We start from the raw sequence: 22,920 nt of genomic DNA, 5'->3' as shown, positions 1-22,920 counted from the left end.
AGGTTGGATTGGAGGAGGGAGAAGACTTGGGGAAAGATCAGAGCGGAGGCAGATGAGATCAGGAATGGGTGGAAAAGGGCAATGGAGAGGCAGTAGGAGAGATATCAGTCCCCACAGGGCAGAAGAACTGGATTTTAATGAAACATTATCTTAGGAGGATCAGTTAATTAGCTCTTGATCTCTGTGGCTTTGATTTCCTCCTTTTGCTGACTCGCCTCCTTTCCATTGCGTCTTGGAGTTCCCAGGCTCCTCTGTGGGAAAGAGATATTAGTTTACCTCTAATTGCTCTGCTGGAAGCATGTGCCTCCATCCATCTCCACCCTATGGTGGAGTGGCTTGGTAGGGATGCCTGGAATGCTGCATTCAGCTGTAACATTGGGAGGGCTGAGCCTCTGTCTCTTTCCATGTAATTGCAGGGCTTCTCATTTTCCATGTGCATTTCATCATTGTTTGGCCACAGACCCTGGAAGTCAGTGGCTTTGAAGGTCCAGGCCACAAAGAGGCTCACTGGTTTATCTGTCTTCCTCTGTGGGGACCCTCTGATGGCACTCACCTTTCCTCCCAGGGAGGGAGCCCAAAACAACAAGCTAGGGATTAGCACAGAGCATCACTGCAAATGTTAGGTGGTAGATGGGTTGAGATGGCTGGGTGGGCAGATAGATACATGGATAGATTAGAAGGGTGGACGGATGGATGACTGGCGAGTGAGTGGTGGATAGATGCATGAATATTTGGGGTGGATGAGGGAGTAGTTGTGTGGGTGGGTGAATGGGCAGATAGATGGATGAGTGGAAAGACAGATGGTGTACGGATGGGTGGATAGATGGATAAATGGATAAGTAGGTGGATGAGAAGGTAGCAAGATGGATAATGGATAGAATATATGAATGAATGGAAAGAAAGATGGATGAGTAAGTGGGTGAGTGAACGAATAGATGAGTGAGTGGGTAGATGGATGGGTGGGTATGTAGTTGAATAATTTGGTTGCTGAGTATATAGATGGATGAGGGGATGATTAGGTTGATGGATAGGTGATAGGCAAAAGAAAGGAAGGAGAGATGGGTAAATGTTTGGGTTGGTCAGAAAACCAGGCTCAGTCAGGCACACTGGGTATGTGCCTATAATTCCAGATACTTGAGAGGCAGAGGTGGGAGGACCATTTGAACCCAAGAGTGCAAGGCCAGCCTGGGCAACATAGACTCCAACTCTAAAACAAATTTTATTTAATTTAGAAAATGAAAATGAAGAAAGAAAAGAAAACCAAGTTCATCCACTTACCAGGAACTTGGGCCAGGAAACCCAGGGCTTAATAAAGACAATCAGGCTAGGGGAAAATAGAACAGGCACTAGAATCAGACATCTGTTCACTCAAGTATCATCTAACATTTAATAGGTCTTGTTTATATCAGAATATTCAGCCTGAGAGTGAAAGAGCTGGAAAGAATCTTAAATGAGATCAGACGCATGCAAAGCATTTAGAACAGGGCCTGGTATACAGGAAGTGCTCAATCAATGTTAGCTGATATTGTCATTGTTAGCATTGCTACTACTCTTCCCTTAATGAGTACTTACTACTTTTAGGCAAGGTGTGAAACACTTTATTTGCATTATCTTTTTACTTCTTTCAGCAACCCTGAGAGGAAGATTCCACCATTATCCTGTTTTTAATTATGATTATGATTATTATTTTGGGGTGTGACAAAAGAGAGATGGGTGAGAAGACTGGAGTCCAAGCTGATGGAAAAATCCCTCAGGCTGCTGGTGCTTTGTCTGGGCAGGGCCACAGCAAAGACCCGTTGTCCTGAGCGACATCCACTCAGAGATGTAATGATTTTCCTTGAGGCTTCGGGTACCCCTATAACCACCCTCATAAAGCAATTATTCTTACCCAGGAATTCATGGGGGAAGGGGGATTAATTAGCCTTGCTCAGTGCCCAGATGTGCCAAAAAACCTAAGTAGGATACTCAGTGGGATTATAAATAAATGATGACAGGTATTATGGAGTCCAAGAGAAAGAAAAAAGCTTGACTTCAAGTGAACACGTCTCTTGCCAGCACCTTTTAAAGGGTATATCACTTGTATTTACATGGACGAATTGGGTTGACTTGACCTCACTCAGCCTCTGAGAAAAATCTGAACACTTCTCAGCAGAAGATGTCTGCAGAGAGGATTGAGCAGAAAACATTTTCAGAGGGCCTTGGCCTAGAAGTTGGGTGCTCGGGTGTTGGTACTTGCCTCCCCACTCACTGGCTGACCACTGGGATCCTGTTCCCCTAAATCAGCTTTTTATTTCCCTATCTTTAAATGAGATGGCTGTACTTGAGATATTTTATTTTATTTTATTTTATTTTTATTTTTTTGAGACAGAGTCTTGTTCTGTCACCCAGGCAGGAGTACAGTGGTGCAATCTCCGCTCACTGCAATCTCAGCCTCCTGGGCTCAAGCGATCCTCCCACCTCAGCCTTCCACGTAGCTGGGACTACAGGTGCACACCACCACACCTGACTAATTTCTGATTTTTTGTAGAGATGGTGTTTCACCATATTGCCCGGGGCTTAATAAAAAGTGGGCTCAGCCATCCGCCCACTTTGGCCTCCCAAAGTGTTGGGATTACAGATGTGTGCCACCACAACTGACCTGTACTTAAGTTCTCATTGGGATGGGGTGTCCCTTCTCTATAGAATATTCTGCTTTTTATTACTCTTTTTGCCTTGTTTCCTATAAGTATATATAAGTATATATAGGGCTCAAGTAGATTACAACTGCAGTGGCTCATGCCTGCAATCTCAGCACTTTGGGAAGCTGAGGTGAGCAGATTTCTTGAGCCCAGGAGTTTAAGACCAACCTGGGCAATATGGTGAAACTGCATCTCTATTATTATAAAAATACAAAAATTTTCCAGGCATAGTGGTGTATGCCTGTGATCCCAGCTACTCAGGAGGCTGAGGTGGGAGGATTGCTTGAGCCCAGGAGGTCAAGGCTGCAGTGAGCCGTGATGATGTCACTGTACTCCAGCCTGGGTGACAGAGTGAAACCTTGTCTCAGAAAAAAAAAAGTAGATTATAACCTTCTCGTCAGTGGAAAGAGGATTATATCAGTTGAGCTCTTTTGGATGTAGATGACACAATGACAACTCAACTTGGCTTAGGTAAAAAGAATTTATGAGCTCACATAACTGGAAAATCCAGGGGCACCCAACTTTCCCCTCTAATGGCTTTATTTCTAGGTAGTCTCTCCTCTTATGATGGCAGAAAATTGTTAGAAATGAAGGCTATGTGCCTTCAAATAACTTACAGTCTTTTCATTCAGAAAGTGAAAATTCTAAATCATGCACTGTGCAGAGTCTGGGGAAACAGAGAGAGGCAAGATAGCCTCTTTGGAGTCCCTTGGCCTTTGCATGCAAGAAGCACAGACTCACATTTATACCAGGACCATGCAGGTAACATAAATAAGAAGAGTGAGGCCGGGCACAGTGGCTCACGCCTGTAATCCCAGCACTTTGGGAGACCAAGGAGGGTGGATCACTTGAGGTCAGGAGTTTGAGAACAGCCTGACCAACATGGTAAAACCCTGTCTCTACTAAAAATACAAAATTAGCCAGGCTTGGTGGCATGTGCCTGTAATCCCAGCTACTTGGGAGGATAAGACAGGAGAATCACTTGAGCCCAGGAGGTGGAGGTTGCAGTGAGCTGAGATCACACCACTGCACTCCAGCCTGGGTGACAGAATAAGACTCCGTCTCAAAAAAAAAAAAAAAAAAAAAAAAAAAAAGAAATGACTTGAGCGAGGGGCTTTAGGGAAAGGTGGAGACTGTAGCAAACAGGAGAGCATGTCCTGCTTTAAAGGAGCAGCTGTGACTCAAGGGCAGCCACAACTCTGTGTCAGCCATAATTGCCATGCCATGCAAGAATGTGGTTCCAGTGTTAATCAGATCCTTTAATTTTTCAAGTGACGCTGCAAATCCATATTTTATGTAAACTCTTCTGATGTTTCACTGTTGATTACAATTTTAAAAAATACTCTCATGGCCAAACAACACAAGTCCACAGTCCACCAGCTCATGCCCTCTGCTATTTGGAATAGAGATTGCCTAGAGGGCTGGAACACTGCTTACGTACCAGCCATTTCTGGTTTTTTTTTGTTTTTTTTTCCCCCCAGTAACTTTTGCAGAATAGCCATTCTTTTTTTTTTTTTAAGATATATACAAATGTCAGTTGAGATACTGAGATCTTAAATGATCTCAGGGGGTTTCCTCATCAAAGCCTTGGAGATGGGGAGGGGCCAATAAGAGAGATCATTGTCGAATTTATTTCTGTATACCTTATCCCAACGAATAGAACTGGATACCCTTGAGATCAGAGATGTGTCTTATTCATAAGCTTCTTCATTTGTTTTATTTTTAATTTTTGTGGGTACATAGTAGGTGTATGTATTTATGGAGTACATGAGATGTTTTGATAGAGGCATGCAAAGTGAAATGAGCACATTATGGAGGATAGGGCATCCATCCCCTCAAGCATTTGGCTTTTGAGTTACAATCCAACTGCATTCTTTATTTTAAAATGTTCACTTAAGTTATTATTGACTATAGTCATCCTCTTGTGCTATCAAATAGTAGGTCTTATTCATTCTTTCTATATTTTTATCCATTAACCATCCCCACCTCCCCCTCCCCAAGCCCTCACTACCCTTCCCAGCCTCTGGCAACCATCCTTCTACTCTCTCTGTCCATGAGTTCAATTGTTTTGATGTTTAAATCCCACCAATGAGTGAGAACATGTGATGTTTGCCTTTCTGTACCTGCTTATTTCACTTAACATAATGCTCTCCAGTTCCACCCATGTTGTTGCAAATGACAGGATCTCATTCTTTTTTATGGCTGAATAGTACTCCATTGTGTATATGTACTACATTGTCTTTATTCATTCATCTGTTGATGGATGCTTAGGTTACTTCCAAATCTTAGCCATTGTAAACAGTGCTGCAATAAATATAAGAGTGTATATTTCTTTGATATACTAATTTCCCTTTTTGGGAAGTATATATCCAGCAATGGTATTGCTAGGTCATATGGTAGCTCAATTTTTAGTTTCTTGAGAAACCTCCAAACTGTTCCATAAGCTTCTTATATGCCCTCAAATAAGAGGGTTTATTTATTCATTCAAAAACATTTGTCAAACGTTACTTTGTAATAGGGATTGTGCTGGCCACTGGTGAACAGTATGGTGGACACTGTGGCTGCCCACCCAACTTCTGTCTTAATTTCTTCCTTATTAAAGGAACTTGAATTTTGTTAATACAGGAATAATCTCACCCTATGGGGTGAATCCTGTTCCCTTTGCTAGTGATCAGCCTAGGGGTGGCTATATGACCCTGTTCTGGCCAATGAGATGGTAGGGGAAGTTGATAGTGGGTGGCGGGATTACAAAAAAAGAGAGAGAGAGTGAGAGAAGCGAGAGTTATTTTGGCCATCCTTGTCACCTCCTCCTTCCTGCCTTTGAATATGATTTTATGAAGATTGATGCCTGGCATAACAGCAGCCATTTTGTAGCAATGAGGCAGTAAGCCTGGGCATGAAAAGCCCATACACATAGGGAGGCAGAACAAAAGGGTGGAAGAAACCTGGGTCCTTAATAACAGGGTTGAGCTGCTGAATCAACTTTCATGCCACCCTCCTCTTAACTTTTTATGTGAGATAAGTAAGTATCTGTATTCTTTAAGTCTCTATTATTTAAGCATTCTGTTATATGAGATGAGCAAGACAGACCAGCTCCTGCCCTTAGGTAACCTGCAGTTACCAGACAATGAGAGCTGGTGATGACTGAGTGCTTTCTACAAATTCCTTATAATAACCCTATAAAGCAAGTGCTCTTTTTATTACCACCCTGTATTTCAGATGAGAAAATTGAGGCTCAGAGAGGTTAGGGCACTTGCCCAAGGTCACTGCAAGTAAGTAATAGCACCATTCTGACTCCAGAATCCTTCCTCTGAGCCACAGGTCACACTGCCATCTGAGTCATTTTGCACTGAATCCTGGTTGAGTAAATAAATGGACAAGTAGTCACAACAGGGCTGTTAGCTGAAAAGTGACAGAGCCATTCCCACTGCCTGCACTTGCAAGCTCCAGGCATACCCAGATGTTCTTTATCTGAATCTGGAGCCACACTTTGTAAATATCGGGCCACTAGTGGGGAAGAATCTGAGTGATGTGGAATATCTAGCACTGGCCTTGGGCTTGGGGACCTTTGCTTTCCATTTAATTAATCTAAGGTTTCTCAATCTTGCCACTATTGACATTTGGGCTGGAATTTTTTTTTTTTTTTTTTTTTTTTTTTTGAGACAGAGTCTTGCTCTGTCACCCAGACTGGAGTGCAGTGGCGCAATCTTGGTTCACTGCAGCCTCCACTTCCCAGGTTCAAGGAATTCTCCTGCCTCAGCCTCCTGAATAGCTGGGACTACAGGCATGCGCCACCACACCTGGCTATTTGTATTTTTAGTAGAGACAGGGTTTCACCATGTTGGCCAGGTTAGTCTCAAACTCCTGACCTCAGATGACCTGCCCACCTCAGCCTCCCAAAGTGCTGGGATTGCAGGCATGAGCCACCATGCCTGGCCAAGAATTCTTTATAGTGGGGGGCTGTGCCGAGCATTGCATGGGGTTTAGCAGCATCCCCGGCCCCCACCCACTAGATACCAGTCTCCCATCAGAGACTTGTGGCTGTGAAACTGCCCAGCCATCCTTGCCACTATCATCGAGTCCAAATCTCATTACCTTTGCCCTGGACAATTGGAGAAATCTTATCGTGGGTTTTCCTGCCGCCATTTTTTATCCTCAAATACTTCATAGTGCACACCAGCAGCTGGAGCCATCGCCTCAAAACATATCAGTGCATGGGACTTCTTTGCTTAAAACACTACCATGGCTTCCCATCACAATTAGAAAAAACTCAAACTCCTCCCTTAACCTTGAGAATAAAATCCCAACCGGGCAATGCATGGCTTGGTCTTGGCATCCATCTGTTCTTAGAACACATCAAGCTCATTCCCACCTTAGGACCCTTGCTTGTGCTGTTCCCTTGCCTGTACCTCCTTCCTCAGAACTTCACATGGTTGGCTTTTCCTACCCACAGGTTCTCAGCTTAGACATATTGCCTCCTCCAGGAAGCCTTCCCTGACTACTCTATCTAAAGTTGCTGATGTCTCTCTCAGTTAGGCTCTATCGCTTCCATTTACTTTTTTTCATTGCGTTTATCACAAGCAGAATGACTTATTTACTTGATTATTAACTGTATCTCCCACAAGAATATAAGTCCGTGAGCGCAGTACTGTCTATTTTATTTACACTGTAGCTCCAGTGTCAAGAGTAATGCTTGGTACATAGTAGGTGTTTATTAATGGTTGGTTGAAGAATGGCATTTCCAGACTGGGAAACACCTTTGCCTTCCATCTAACTCATGCAGGGTTTCACAATCTTGCCACTGTTGAGATTTGGGGCAGGAGAATTCTTTACAGTTGGGGCTGTCCTGGGCCATGCATGGTGCTTGGCACCATCCCTGGCCTCTACCCACTAGATGCCAGGACAACCACTCTCCCTCTCCCCTGGAGTTATGACAGTCAAAAATATCTCCAGACATTGTAACATATCCCGTTTGTTTAACAAACAAACAAACAAACATAATAACATCAAAATACCTGTCTCACTCATTTTTGTAGGGAAATTGCTTTCCTTGGCTTTCCAGCTGATTGGAAGATTGGCCCCAGGTTTCTTTCCAGGGACCTGTCTGTCCACATTTGTATTAGTCAGGGTTCCTCAGGGGGACAGAACTAATAGGATAGAGGTATATATGAAAGGGAGTTTATTAAGGAGAATTGACTCACGCAATCACAAGGTGAAGTCCCACAACAGGCTGTCTGCAAATTGAAGAGGAAGGAAGCCAGTAGTGGCTCAGTCCAAGTCCCAAAACCTCAAACGTAGAGTAGCTTACAGTGCAGGCTTCAGTCTGTGGGCAAACACCTGAGAGCCACTGGTGTAAGCCCAAGAGTCCAAAAGCCAAAGAACTTGGAGTCCGATGTTCCAGGGCAGGAAGCATCTAGCATGGAAGAAAGATGGAGGCCAGAAGACTCAGCAAGTCAGCTTCTCCCACCTTCTTCTGCCTGCTCTATTTCAGCCACACTGGTGGTTGATTGGATGGTGCCCACCCACACTGAGGGTGGGTCTGCTTCTCCCAGTCCACTGACTCAATTGTTAATCTCCTTTGGCAACACCCTCACAGTCACACCCAGGAGCAATACTTTGCATCCTTCAGTCCAATCAAGTTGACACTTAGTATTAACCATGGCAACATTCCTCAGGGGTTTCACTGGGTAGAGGAGCTGTGGGTAGGCTTTGGTGGCAAACTGGTGATCAGGATTAGGAAATGAGTGCAAGGGAAGAGAAACTGTCCCATAACAAACTTACTAAAAAGTTTGTAGAGAGGATTAAAGGTCCACAAATAGCCAAGTGTGCCCTAAAAAAGAACAAAGAAGAGAGACAAGGGCTACAGGCACTAAAGCTCACTATAAAGCCATGCTAATAAAAACAGGACCACAGTGACATAAGCACAAGAAGCCCAATGGAGCAGAGTGGGGAGTGCAAGAGGCTTCATATGACAAAGGTGGCCCACAGATCAGCTGGGGAAAGGACAAGTTATTTCATAGGTAGTTTTCAGAAAACTAGCCAGCTATAGGGAATGAATGAAGTTGGCTCCCTACCAAATCACACACACACACACACACACACACACACACACACACACACACAATTGGTTAAAGACCTAAAGTAAAAAATAAAAATATAAAATTAATAAACAAAACTGTTTGCAACTTAGGGGCAGGGGAGGACTCAAACAAAAACTTTAAAAGCACAAACTATACAGCCAAAAATAGATTATCTTGATCACTTTAAAAAGATTTCTGCTTAATAAAGGACACCATAGGCAAAGTTAACAGGTAGGTGACAAAGCAGAAGAAGATATTTGCAATGTCTAAAATCCACAAGGGACTTAAAATCTGCATTATACAAAGGAATCCTGCAAATCATCAAGAAAAAAACAGGAATCCTGATAGAAAAATGGGCCACTATGTGCACAGGTGATATTTATACAAGAGAACAATAAGCATATGAAGAGAGTCTCAGACTCATTAGTAATCAGAGAAATGCAAATTTAAATATACTGAGATGTTACCTTGTACGTGTTAGACTGTCAAAACCTACATATCTGGATAATACCAAATGCTGGCTGGGATGTGGAGCTGTAGGAACTCTCAAGCACTGCTGGTGAGATGCAGCCTGGAACAGACATCTGTAGGGAGACTTGGGTGTGCTTAGTTAAATTAAGTGCAACATACTCTGTGATGTGTCAATTCTGAACCTGCAGGAAATGTTTTTTTAAAAAATCATCACACTGGCTCATAAGCAGACACATGGGAGGATGCTCGTGGATGCATTCATTGTGGTGGTGGGAGTTGGAGGTCTTCTGGGTGACCACATAGCGGGTGGACAGTGGAAAGGGGACTTGTGTCATCGTGAACAACTGTGCAGCTATTACAAGCAGCAGGCTGGGTGTACCCACAGCAACGTGGATGGATCTTAGAGAAAAATAAATAGAATGTGATGTATAACACAAACCATATATGCAAGTTTTAAAGTGCACACAAAACACCAAACACAGTTTTCAAGAACTCATACAAACAAAGCAATATACAGGCCGGGCGCAGTGGCTCACACCTGTAATCCCAACATTTTGGGAGGCCGAGGCAGAAGGTTCACTTGAGCCCAGGAGTTTTAGGTTGCAATGAGCCATGATCATGCCACTGCACTCCAACCTGGATGACAGAGTGAGTCCCGATCTCTAAAAGCAAAAGCAAAAACAAACCCAAACAAAACAATATACGGTTGACACATGACAACCATTTCCTATGGGCTAGTGGGAGGGGAATGCAGATAAAAGGGAATTTAAAAATGAAAAAAACAATACAGAAGAAAAACAAGTAACAAGGTTTTCTGTCTGTTCCTGGCCTTGGCAAGAGAGGTGTGTGGCTCCACGAGGACAGGGACCATATAAATTACTCACCCTCAATTCCCAGCACCAACACCCATGCTGAGGCACACAGTAGATGCTCAGTAAACATCTGGAATGATTCCATTAATCAATAAATGAACTGATGGAGAAAGGACTTTGCAGAGAGGCTGCTCTGGTATTTGGATAGCCCGTTGATTTTGGAGTCAAACAAGAGATTCCCATATCTGGTTGTGCCAGCACTTGCCAGCAAGATATTGGGCAAGACACCTTCTCTCGGAGCTTTAGCTTCCACATCTATAAATAACCTCATCTCTTATTTACAGATGTGGAAGCTGATGGATGTTATACCTTCAGAGGACTACTTGTAGTAGGTGCCCAACAAACATGCATCTCCACTCCTTGGTTATATGGAGTAGAGAAGAACCGCACTTCTAGGTGTTATTTTAGCTGTACCTGGAAGGCACCGTAATGCCTGCAGTAATGCCTGGAAATTTCACCATTATAGAGTCATTTTTTCCCTCTCATCAGGAAGGATTTATTGCTTTCTGAAACCTCCTGTGGGAATGCCCAGATCTCTGGAGAAAAGTTGCCTTCAACAGATTAGGCTTACAGAGGGGCCAGCTGAGAACCCTTTCTGACCCTAGGAACACCAGACTGAAGCAGGAGGGAATGTGATTGTTCACTGTCTCTCACACCCCAGGTCATTTGCACTTGCTGTTTCCTCCACCTGGAATGCATTTCCCTCATTCTCCCCATGGCTAGTCCCTTCTTATCTTTCAATCTCTATTAATCTCCTCTGAGACACCCTTCCTGACCACCCTGTGTAACACTAGCAGCTTGGTCTCTCTTTTTCCACCCCATCATGATGTTCCATTTCCTTTATAACAATCACTGTAGCCTGAAACTCTCTCTTTAAAAATTTACTTTTTTAGTTACCTGTCTTCCTCCACTGGTCTACAAGCTCAGAAAGGGGGGCGGGCTGAATTAGGGCAATAGGCCAGAAGTTTAGGTTTTAGTCTAAAGCAAGGGAAAGTCTTGGGAAGGTTTTAAGCAGATGAGAAACATGGTCCAACATTTCATGGTCCATGAAATGTAGCAGTTGTTTTGGTGGCCATGGGGAGAATGAACTGTAGGAGGCCAAGATGGGAGCCAGGCATGGGAGCCAGGGATGAGGCCAAGATGGGAGCCAAGTTGCAGGGAGGTTGCAGGGAGACAAGACGATGGTACCTTGGACAAGGGTCATGATGGTGGAGATGATAAGTGGACAAGTAAAAAATATATAATAATATTATGTGCAACTCTATGGAAATTATGGAAATGAACCCCTTAATTTTAGAAAGGAAGAAAAGGGCCAGAGAGGAACCTGTGTTGGAACACTGTATCTTGTTCAGTTTTTGTCCTCCAGGGCAGGGGAGCTCACTGCTGTACCCATCCCCGGCACTTTTTTTTTTCTTTTTTTTTTTTTGCAACAGGGTCTCACTTTGTTATCCAGGCTGAAATGCAGAGGTGCAATCACAGCTTATAGTGGCTTTGACCTCCTGGGCTCAAGTGATCCTCCTGCCTCAGCCTCCTGAGTAGCTGAGACCACAGGTAAGCAGCACCATGCCCAGCTAATTTTTTATTTTTTGGCAGAGATGGGTCTCACTATGTTGCCCAGGCTGGTCTCCAACTCCTGGGCTCAAGCCATCCTCCCGCCTCAGTCTCCCAAAGTGCTGAGATTACAGGCATGAGCCACTGTGCCCGGCCGCTGACACCTATTTACTTATCATGCAGTAAATGAATATTTGAAAGAATAAATGAGTAAACACAAGGCCCATCTGTGGCATCCTTAGAGAACCCTTGCCTGCCTCTCCAGGTACCTCCTCCAGTTTTCATTTCTGGGATTATGTGATGGGTTTTGCCTCCCCCACTGGATGGGGAGCTCCAGGGGGAAGACTTTCCCTTCACGGAGCCTGGCATTCTGCTTGCACATAGGAAGCTGTCAATAACCAGATGTCCAACTTAACATGAATAAATGAATGAATGAATGAATGAATGAATCACCAGACTATATAAACCAGCTCACTCTTCACCCTCTCTTCCCCATACCTCGCTTTATTTTTCTTCTTAGCGGTTATCACCACCTGCCACATTGCATATGTACTGATGTATTCATTGTCCGCCTCCGTCCCCCACCCCCGACCCCCCGCTAAAATCTAGAATGGAAGCTCATGAAAGCAAGGGCTATTTACAGTTCCGATCTGCCCCCTCCCACCCTCTGACCCTTCCTCCTGTTTCATTATTTCCCCCAGCGCTTGTCACCGCCTCATATATCCTTTCGCTTTTTTGTTTATGATCTGTTTCCAACCAGCTCCACGAGGGCCGGATGTTTGTGTTTGATTCACAGCTGTATCTCAGACGCCTGTCACCGTGCCCTGCACCGCGGCTCGCGCACAGGAGGCGTTCAACACACGTTGTTGACGGGACGAAGGAAGGCGGGATCGCGAGGCCAGCTGTGCAGGTGGCCTGGGTGGAGAGGGATGCACGGCCACGCGCGTCTCCTTGGCCCGATCCCGGAGCCCGCCCCCGGCCTCCCCGGCAGGCTGGGCCGGGCAGGCAGGAGTTAAGCCGCGCTCGCTTCCGACCCGCAGGTGGCGCCGTCCTGCCTTGGTGCCCGGCTCCGGGCGCTCCGAAGTGCGGGACAGAATAGCAGCGAGCGCGGAGCCGAAGCTCAGCCCCGACTTGTTGATCTCGCCCAGGCAGCCGCCGCCGCCGCCGCCGCGGGAGCAGGAGGAGGAGGAGGTGGAGGAGGTGCCGCGCGGCCGCGGTCCTGCCCCCGCGCCCCCGGCGCCCGCCGGCGCCCCCCGCCTCGGAGAGCGCGCCCCGGCCCCGCGGCGCCTGCAGCCCGGGCGAGTTGCCTGCCCGGCCGGGGTAGGCCCGGCTCAGCCCGGCCCCGGGACCGCCGCTGCCCACGGGCGGGGGCGCCCGGGCGGCCGGGACGATGCGCGGTCCCTGGCCCCAGGAGGCGGCCGCCCTGGGGGTGAGTGTTGGGGCGTACGGCCTTCCGTGGGGGTGCATGGGGACACGGACAGGGGGTTTGCCTGCCGCAGCTCGGCCTGTTGGTCTGCTCGGGCTCCGCAGCTCCAGGCTGGAGGGGAGCGGGGTGGGAGGCAGGCAAGGGCTGAGGCCTGAGGGGACGCGCAATCCCCATTCTGGGGCTAAGGCGTGAGCCCTACATGCAGGGGGTGCTCAGGGGAACCCCCCGAAATCACTAGTGCGCGGTAGGAGGATGGCACCTTTTGAAAAGGCCAGAAAATTTAGCTCATTTCCCCGCCTCCCACCTCCCCCACCCCTTCCCTTCCAAGCCCGGGGAAAGGCGCAGAACCCGGAGTTATAAAAAGCCATCGCGGGAGAGGAACGAGGAGGAGGAGTAGGAGGAGGAGGAGGAGGAGGAGGAAGAGGAGGAGGAGGGGGAGAAGGAAGAGGAGGGGGAGGAGAAGGAGGAGAAGGGGGCGGGGAAGGAGCGAGGGGAGGACGGAGCAGGCGGATCCCGAGGACTCTGCCCGCCCCTCCTGCGGTAGGGTTGGGGGCTCAGAGGGAGAGGCGAGAGCGGGCTTTTCCTCCTCGCGGCTCACCTTGTCGCTGGAGCAATCTCAGGAGATGCTCCAGTGTTTGGGAAGAGGGGTCGCTCCAGGACAGAGGGGCTGTTGTGCACACCCCGTCTGTTGTGACCTCGGACAGGTGGGCACCTGGAACCCCCGGAATTCCCCCAAATCTTTTAAGATTTGGAAAAAAGCCCGCTGCCATTCCCCCACCCCCAAAATCTTGATTATCTCGAGAAGGGGAAGGAAAAGAAGAGAACTCGTTAAAAAAAAAAAAAAGAAGGAAAGAAGAAGAAGAAAGAAAGAAAAAGATAAAGAAAGAAAGTTTTCATGCAGCTCCCCCTCTCTCCCCATGGCGGGGCCAGGTTCGGGACTCGATCGGGAGACCCATAATGAAGAGAGTTTCAGCACTCTAAGGGGCGGACAGCGCCCCGGGCGGCTGGGTCGCGCCTGGGCCGCAGAAGCCCAGGGTGGGGCCTCCCGGGCTCCAGGGGCATCTCTTGGGGCCCTCTCCCCGCCCCGAGGGGCGGCCCCTCCCTCCATCCATGGGGTGCGGCGGACTTCAGCACCGGCGGGAGGGACAGCGACCATCCGTCCTACCCCACTGAGCCGCTTAAGCGCGGGGGAAGGTCAAGGCCGGCTGGGAGCCTGGTGGAGAGGTGGGGGGCGGGGGGACAGCATGCCCAGCTCCCCGTTTGCTGACCCGCGTCCGCTTTCGCTTTCTGCCTCGCAGCCGTCGGGATGGAGGTGAGAAGACGGCCGTGACGCGCGCCCGCGGGGCCCCCTGCACCCCCAGCAGCCCACAGCGCTCCCTGCCCCCCTCCCCCGCAGCAGCGGGCCTTGCCGTCGAGTGACAGCGGCCTGGGGGGGCAGGGGGGGCGGGGGCGGCCGGATCAGCGATGCCGGCGGGCATGACGAAGCATGGCTCCCGCTCCACCAGCTCGCTGCCGCCCGAGCCCATGGAGATCGTGCGCAGCAAGGCGTGCTCTCGGCGGGTCCGCCTCAACGTCGGGGGGCTGGCGCACGAGGTACTCTGGCGTACCCTGGACCGCCTGCCCCGCACGCGGCTGGGCAAGCTCCGCGACTGCAACACGCACGACTCGCTGCTCGAGGTGTGCGATGACTACAGCCTCGACGACAACGAGTACTTCTTTGACCGCCACCCGGGCGCCTTCACCTCCATCCTCAACTTCTACCGCACTGGGCGACTGCACATGATGGAGGAGATGTGCGCGCTCAGCTTCAGCCAAGAGCTCGACTACTGGGGCATCGACGAGATCTACCTGGAGTCCTGCTGCCAGGCCCGCTACCACCAGAAGAAAGAGCAGATGAACGAGGAGCTCAAGCGTGAGGCCGAGACCCTACGGGAGCGGGAAGGCGAGGAGTTCGATAACACGTGCTGCGCAGAGAAGAGGAAAAAACTCTGGGACCTACTGGAGAAGCCCAATTCCTCTGTGGCTGCCAAGGTGAGTCTGGGATCTGGGGGCTGCTGGTCTGGGGGGATCTGCTTGCATCCCCATATTGAGGACCACTGCTGGAGGACTCTGGCTTTGTTCCCAACGATGAAGATTAGTAATGGGGAGGGGCTAGGACTGAGTCCCCAGAGGTGAGGACCAACCCCCTCAGACTTTTCCCATGTGGCACTGGTCACTCCATCTTTTTATTATCCAAGACGTTATACCCCTACTTGGTTGGAGAGGTTTCACAGGGACCCATAAAAAGCCACAGCAAGAAGATGGACACTGACGAATAAGAGAGAGAGCACAGAGAGACAACAGTGGCTTGCTGGGGTGGAGTAGGGTTTGCTTCCCTGTGAAGTCCCAGACCTAGGCTGGATTGGATCACCCTGTGATTTTAATATCTCCATATTTATAACCTCACTCTGCCCCAGCAAGGGAAAAAAGCAGCTTACAGACATGCTTACAGGACATTGAGATACTGTCAGATAGTTTAAACATAAGTAAGAAGGGACCCCGAGGGGTGGGTGTGGACCCACACGACACATGCAGTTGGTTGTGGATGCTTGCGGGTGAGGGGTCACCCCCTGGTTACTTATTTATTTGGTGAGTTTATTTCCAGAATGGTTTGGTGCAGCTTGTAAAGATGTTTCAGCTCTTGGAACAAGATGTAAATTTCAAAATAGGAGAGAAAAATGAGGCAATGTGAAAAATAAAGGAGGAGGAGGAGGAGGAGGCAGGAATGAGTTTGAACACAAAGAGTGGGCCAGAGAGTCTTTGGTGCTGCTGGGTAATGGCAGGGGCTGTAGGGGACTGAGGAAGGCTTGGGGTGGGAGCCAAGGCAGGGCAGGAGGGCACTGGTTGATCAGCAACTTCTCTACGTCAGGCTGGGATTTGGGGTTGCCTGGGAAAGATGGGGCCTGTCTTCATGTGCCCGAAGTGCTGGGTGCTGGGAGCAAATGACAAAACAGTGTGTGCAAGGCTATAAAAGAGGTTCTGTGAGGTTCACGGAGAACCCAGAAAAGAGAGATGTTGATGTTGAAATCCAGCAAGACCAACTTGGGAAACATGGGGAGAATGTAACTGAGTGTGGGGCCTAAAAAAAGGGGTCAGGTAAGTAGATTTGTGGTAAAAGAAAGAGGAGAGGAGGAAGCCTAAATATCCAGCCATATCTTACTAGCTAGGGCTGACTCCTGTCCAGCCCAGCCTTTCATTGTGGGGTCTCCGGCTCAGTTCTCACTGAAGGCCCACCTGCAGGTCCCAGTCTGAAGGGAGACTCCGTGGGGTCCTTCCTCCAGATCTAGCCACCCAAGGAGAGGCCCCTGAGAGTGGATGGAGAAGGGGTGGCTGGTAAGAGGGTGGAGGGAGCCCCCACGTGTTTTTTTCGTTTCCCTGTTGGCCCTAACAAGGATGTAGAGGCTCCTGGGCCTGGCTTCCTCCTCTGAGGCTGTGGGCTGTCTCTCTCCATAATCCCGCCCCCAATTTTGTGTCCAAAAAGCCTCCTCCTAAGACAGAGTCACTCACCCTTAATCAGCTTAGGATCAACAGACTTATTTTGCTATTTCCAGGCATGACACAGGTTCTCCCACTGCACATCCCATTTAGGCCCAAATGTGACTCTCCCTCCCTGTCCCATCCCTAAGACATGAGAACAAGGTACAGGGAACTGGACAATTTGCCCTCCCAGAGAAGAAGCAGGCACAGGGCCATGTTTTGGTCTGGCAGCAAGACCCAAGCACCGGGGCTTGCAAGAGGTGCTGTTTGGGAATAAAGAACCTCTCCTCTCCCTTGGGTTAATCCGCTAGCAGGGACAGCCTTGTGACCTCTCCATGATCCCAGTCTGGGGCTGCCAGCTCACATTCCTGGCAGATGGACCATCTAGGATTTTCTGTAGCCAGAGCTGAAATGGGGAGGGAGGCAGGCTCACTGGCCCTCAGAATAGAAATCCTGGCTGCCAATGATCAAACACCTACTGTGTATGGAGTGTAACAACGCAGCTCTGTTATTATCCCACCTTTCGCAAACAGTGAGGCTGAAAGAGGTTAAGTAACTTGCCTAAGGTCACACCACAGGCAGTCAGGAGTAGCCAGAAATCCAAACCGAGTGTTCTTTCTATAATGATCAAGTGCCGCAGCCTCCTCCCCAGTCTCCCGGCTTCCACTTTTGCCCCTGCAATCCATTCCCCACATAGCAGCCAAAGTGAGCTTTTCAAAATGTAAATTGGATCACATTATTCATCTGCTTAAAATCCTCCAGAAGTTTCCCATCACACTCAAAATAAAATTCAGACTTTTCATCCTGGCATACAAGGCCCAGGCAGAATCTGGCCCCCATGACCTCTCTGGGCTCATCTCTTTTGATCTCCTCTGGTTCACTTGGCTCCAGCCCCACTGGCCTTGCTGTTCCATAAACAGGCCAGAGTTTATCTGACCTCAGGACCCTTGCACTTGCTGTTTCCGCTGCCTGGAATGCTCTTCCCCAGATTCCCCCTTGGCCAGCCCCTTCTCCCCCTTCCTCATTTGAGCAGGTCCCTGCTCACATGTCCCCTCCTCATACAGACCTTCCTTGACCGCTGTTCTAAACAGTTTCCCTCCCCTCACTCTCTGTTGCATCATGCAATGCCTTTCCTGCAGAGGCCTTAAACGCCATCTGAAATTATATTTCCTTCTTTGTGTGTCTCTGTTTCACACCCACAAGAATGTGAGTACCATGAGTTGATTCACTGCTTGATTCCCAGCACCCATGATGGTGCCTGGCACTGAGGAGCATGTGGAATGAATAAATGAATGAATGAACGAATGAATGAATGAACGAATGAATGAATCAAGCAAGCAAGCAAGCAGTCAGTCACTGTGTCTCAGGGTTTGGGGACCTGTCACCCCTTCTCACTGCCCACCTGCAACCCAGGTCCCTGTGCCTCTGGCCTCCTTTGAGTCATCTGCACCTTGCCCATCCCATCCCCACCCATCCCCCCAGCTTGGATGCCTTGCTTGTCAAAACAAGCAAAGCCTGTGGAAATTGCTTAGAACTCACAGAGTGACAGGACCAAATGGAGGATCATTTCTAGGTGATTGTAAGATACAAAAGTGGCCATATCTCATATGCTGAAGAGCAAGGATGGATCTGGTTCTGTGCCACTCCCCACTTCCATAGCTTTTAGCTAATTTCTCCAACTTTCCAAGTCCCAACCTTCCACCTGTAAAATGGAGATAAAAGGCTCACCTTACAGGGTCTTCATTAAATCACATTTGTCAAAATTTTGCTCAAAGCCTAGCACATAGCAGGTGGGGATTGTTGTTATAAATGCTAAGGAAAAGAGTCTTTTTTCTAGGGCTGGGTGGGCCGAGTTGCTGCAAACCCTTTCCTTCTGAGAGCAGCAGGGCCAGGGAGACTGAGCTGACACTGTTAATAATTGATGGGATGTTCTGGCAACTCGGAGACAAACCAAAGCACAGGCCCTAGGCTTTGCCATCAGGGGAGCGAAAATCAAAACCCATTAGGCAAAAGGCAGTGTGATTGATTCTTGTTTAGAAGATGGGGACAGCCCCATTGGTGTGACAGGGTTGCGGTGCTGGGGCTACCACGGGGCTTTGGCTTTCTCGGAAAACTCGACAGGCTTTTCTCAGTAGGAGAGACAGGGAACTGATTTGCCAGCCCAGGAGTGTCTGTGATCCCTGGGATAGTCTCAGGATTAAAGCCCTGAGATAACTTCCTAATTTCCAGGGTAGCTTATGTTTGTTGTGCCCAGCACTGATTAGTGGTGCTTCATATCTGCTATCTCATTGAAATTCCTCCAACAGGGATACAACCAGGTAGTATGCCAGTTAGGGATGCTTTGGGCTGCAAGCAGCAGAATAGAAAACTCAAAGTAGCTTCAATAAGGAGGAAGATGCATCATTGAATATAATATGAAGTTCCAAGGCAGTTGGTTTTAGGTTGAGTTAATGGCTCAATGATGCCACCAGGATTCTAGATTCTTTTCATCTCTCTGCTCCTCTGCTCCCCAACCCCTGCAAGTGGCTTGGTCCTCATGCTTGATGCTTCATATCACAAGATGGCTGCCCAGTTCCAGCCCTCAGACGTACATTCAGTGATGTTTAATCCGTGAAGAGAAACATTTTCTCCTATGCTCCACTTTCTTTCTTTTGTTTTTGAAATGGAGTCTTGCTCTGTCGCCCAGGCTGGAGTGCAGTGGCATGATCTCGGCAGCTCACTGCAACCTCCGCCTCCTGGGTTCAAGCAATTCTCCTGCCTCAGCCTCCTGCCGAGTAGCTGGGATTACAGGCATGTACCACAATGCCTAGGTAATTTTGGGGTTTTTAGTAGAGACAGAGTTTCACCATGTTGGCCAGGCTGGTCTCAAATGTCTGACCTTAAGTGATCTGCCCGCCTTGGCCTCCCATAGTGATGGGATTACAGGTGTGAGCCACAGCGCCTGGCCCACTTTCTTTTTTTTTCTGAGAGGAAACCCTTTCCCAGGAGCACCCTAGCAGACTTCTTTTAAAATCCCATTGGCCAGGACAGGTCACATGCTCATGCTCTAGCTCTGAGGGAACCTGAGAAAGCAAGTGTCTGGCATTTTCAGATGAGAGAGGGAATGGATCTGATAAGTGGTATGAAGACTCTTTTACAGAACAGGAAATGGAGGCTCTGAGAGGCGAAGTCACTTGCCTGAGCCCACACAGCTAGGTTCTCAGTAAATATTTATCAAAGGAATGAAAATTGCAGAGCCAAGGTTTGAACCCAAGTTTGTCTGGTTCCCAAGCCTATGTTTCTAAATCCTGGGACCTTGGGTGGATCATTTTAGCTCTCAGGTCCAGTGAATTCATCTGCCTGATGGTGATAATAGTCATAGCTCCCTTTCAGGGCTCTTTTGATGATTCAATGAGATTTCAGATGTGAATGTAATTTGTAAATGGAAAGTACTTTATAAGTATGAAGTATTATTGTATTCAAAAGTGGGAGTGGCCTTTATTTATTTATTTTTAATTTTTTAACTTTTTTCAGAGACAGGGTCTTGCTCTGTCACCCAGGCTGGAGTGCAGTGGTGCAATCAGAGCTCACTGTAACCTCAAACTCCTGGGCTCAAGTGATCCTCCTGCCTCAGCCTCCTGAGTAGCTGGGACTACAGGTGCACACCATCACTCCTGGCTACATTAGAAATTTTTTTTTGTGGAGACAGGGTTTTGCTACATTGTGCTGGCTGGTCTCGAACTCCTGGGTTCAAGTGATCCTCCCATCTAAGCTTCTCAAAGCACTGGGATTAAAGGTGACAGCCATCATGCCCAGCTTAGAGTGGCCTTTCTTTAGGAACAGTGGTCAATATTTTTCCCATCACAGACTTGATTAAGAATCAGCTCTGGAGTCCAACAGATGCGGTTGATTTCTTGTCTCCATTGCTTACCATGAATATGACCTTGGGCAAGCCCCTTTCCTTCTCTGAGTGTCACTTTCCTTATCTAGGAAATGAGAATTATAACAGAGGCAACCATGAAGAGCTGTTAGGAGATGCCCCTAATGTAAAGAGCCTAGCCCAGCGCCTGACTCATGGGAAGCATTCAGTAAGTGGCAGCAACGATTGTTAGTGTTTTCACGGAATTCCTCTGCTCCAGCTACACGTCTCTAGTGTAATGAGGTTCCAGCTTCCTTGACCTGAGCCACAAGGATCTGTGTATTATCATCAAAAGAAATGCGGGAACCAACTCAGAATCTATGGGGCCCCTTCAGTGTGATGAGTCATCGACTTAGGCTCTTGCTGGCCCCAGCTTGGTCAAACCAGATGCCTGTTTTTATCCTGGCAGATAATATGCCAGCAATTCTGAATCCTGATTGTGGGGTCACACAGACCTGGCTTCGAATCGCAGCCCAGCCTTGTCCTAGCTGTGGACTTTGGCCAATTTGCTTCACCTCTCATCACTTCCATTTCCTAATCTGTAAGTGAGGGCGATAATAAAACCTACTCCACAGGGTTGTCTGAAGGATGAAGGATGATAGCACATGATCAGAGTTGAAGCTGTGCCTGAGAAATCCCACATCCCCACAGGATAAAGAAACCCAGAGACCCAGGATGCTCCAGTGACCTGCTGAGGATCACACAGCCCATCATAGCCTTTCAAATCCCCTGAGAGACCAGCTGCTAAGAGATGATCCTGGTCAAACATCCTGGAGTAACAGAAAGATCCCTGAGCCTCAGCGGGTACGGGTGGCGGGGCCAGAAAGGCCTGGGCATGGCCCCTGATCTTTCACCGACTTGCTGTGTGAATGTGAAATGCTAGGAAGAAAAAGAGATGGTCAAATGAATGGGTTGGCCAAAGCTTAACTAACTAGAAGAGAACAAGCATGCGTTAGGCACCAACTCCATACCCAGCACTTTGTGTACTTCCTGTACTTGATAATGTCATCAGGATGGGAAGCACTTGACCTTAGCACTGGATTGCCCAAGTTCAGAGTTTGGCTTCTCTACTCACTAACCATGTGATTTGGGGTCAACTATTGCAGCCCTCTGTGCCCTGGTTCCTTCAGCCAACAGCAATTTTGGGCCAATCACTGTGCCTGCCTCATTGGATTGAGTTACATGCATTAATGTATGCAAAGCACTTAGACTAGGACCTGGTATGTAGAAAGCTCTCAATAACTGTTGGGTTTTGCTGTTGTTGTTTTTTTTCTTTTTTACTGTCCTCTCATGTAATCCTCCTGACAATCCTGCAAGATAAATAAGCTCCTTTTCAAAAAACTGCTCTCATCAAATGATACCTGCTCATTGTAAGGTTAGAGGCTTTCTCTGGCCACTGGAGTCCAGTAAAGGCAGGGCACTAACACCCCAGCAGGAACTAGTGGGATACTCACCTGCCGGCTGATGGGGACGATGTGTACGTGCTTCTCCCCTGGCTGGGGGTATAACTCAGAGGTGTGTGTTCTACACTGGTCCCCAGGGCAGCTTCAGTTGCTCACAGCAATTACTTGTTTGATAACAGACCCTGTTTGACCTCTTTCCTATCCCTGTCTCATGTTCCCTCCCCTCTTCCAGAGTTTTCTGGGATCACTTATCATATAAGCCACTTGTACTCAGAACCTTGTCTTAGGATCTGAGATTCTGGGGAAACCAACCAAAGCTCTGTAGGACATATCATTTATTCAGAATGACCTGGTGTTGTATTATAGACAGCCCACCCCCGATAGAGAGAACCTCTAGGAGGTTGTCGTAAAAGAAGAAATTCTAGGTCTGGCAGGGCACAGTCAGCCTCATCTCTGTCTCTTAGATAAAATGAAAACCACAGTGGTGGCAGCAACAGCTAACACTGAGTGCTTACAATGTGCTTGCCTGGCATAGTGCAAAGGGCATTAAATGCCCCATCACATCTGATTTTCACAGCCCCCCCATAAGGGAGGGATAACTACCCTCATCTTACAGCCGTGGAAACTGAGGCTCAGAGAGGGGAAGTGTCTGGCCCAGGGTCACACAGTGAATGGAAGGCTGGGACAGATCCCACCCAGGACTCCCTGACTGCCCAGCCCATGACTTTGATCTCTGAGTTGTATGAGTGACCTTCAGAAAGTGAGAAGCAAGATCCCAGTATTCCCTTCTCATGCTGGGGCAGTGCTGAGAGGAGAGAGATTTGTCCAGAATCACCCTATGACTTAGGAGTGTTCTTAGCTCTGGATCTAGGACGACTTTACCCCCAAAGGCTCCTGGATGGGACTATGGGAGAGACAGATTTAGCATTAAGCATTATTTTAATAGATAAACTAAATGCATAAGGTCCTACCTTCTCCCTGAGGTGAAATCAACTTGATTTTGGTGTCTCCAGCAGGAGTGGGCA

At 48.2% G+C, this 22,920-nt stretch overlaps 1 protein-coding gene across 2 annotated transcripts in view, besides 2 other annotated features; it reads left to right on the top strand.

Annotated features, from left to right (window-relative positions):
- Positions 12,433-12,492: a silencer, noted in NCBI's record as "silent region_12998". NCBI's record gives its function as "represses an Ori minimal core promoter by ATAC-STARR-seq in GM12878 lymphoblastoid cells {active_cell/tissue: GM12878}" and the evidence as "EXISTENCE:reporter gene assay evidence [ECO:0000049][PMID:35858748]".
- Positions 12,583-12,722: a silencer, noted in NCBI's record as "silent region_12997". NCBI's record gives its function as "represses an Ori minimal core promoter by ATAC-STARR-seq in GM12878 lymphoblastoid cells {active_cell/tissue: GM12878}" and the evidence as "EXISTENCE:reporter gene assay evidence [ECO:0000049][PMID:35858748]".
- Positions 13,661-22,920, top strand: part of KCNB1 (potassium voltage-gated channel subfamily B member 1) — a 119,486-nt gene continuing 110,226 nt past the window's right edge. Inside the window, exons 1-2 of one of the 2 annotated variants that reach the window (XM_011528799.3) lie at positions 13,661-13,782; positions 14,377-15,109. In XM_011528799.3, coding sequence (XP_011527101.1) covers positions 14,543-15,109 — 567 coding nt within the window. In that variant the 5' untranslated portion in view covers positions 13,661-13,782; positions 14,377-14,542. Of the gene's footprint in view, positions 13,783-14,354; positions 15,110-22,920 lie in introns of those variants that run through there. The other variant, NM_004975.4, reaches the window with a different exon arrangement.

This window comes from Homo sapiens, chromosome 20 (assembly GCF_000001405.40).
Source record: "Homo sapiens chromosome 20, GRCh38.p14 Primary Assembly".
Lineage (NCBI taxonomy): Eukaryota > Metazoa > Chordata > Mammalia > Primates > Hominidae > Homo > Homo sapiens.
This window is presented reverse-complemented; position numbering and strand designations above follow the sequence as displayed.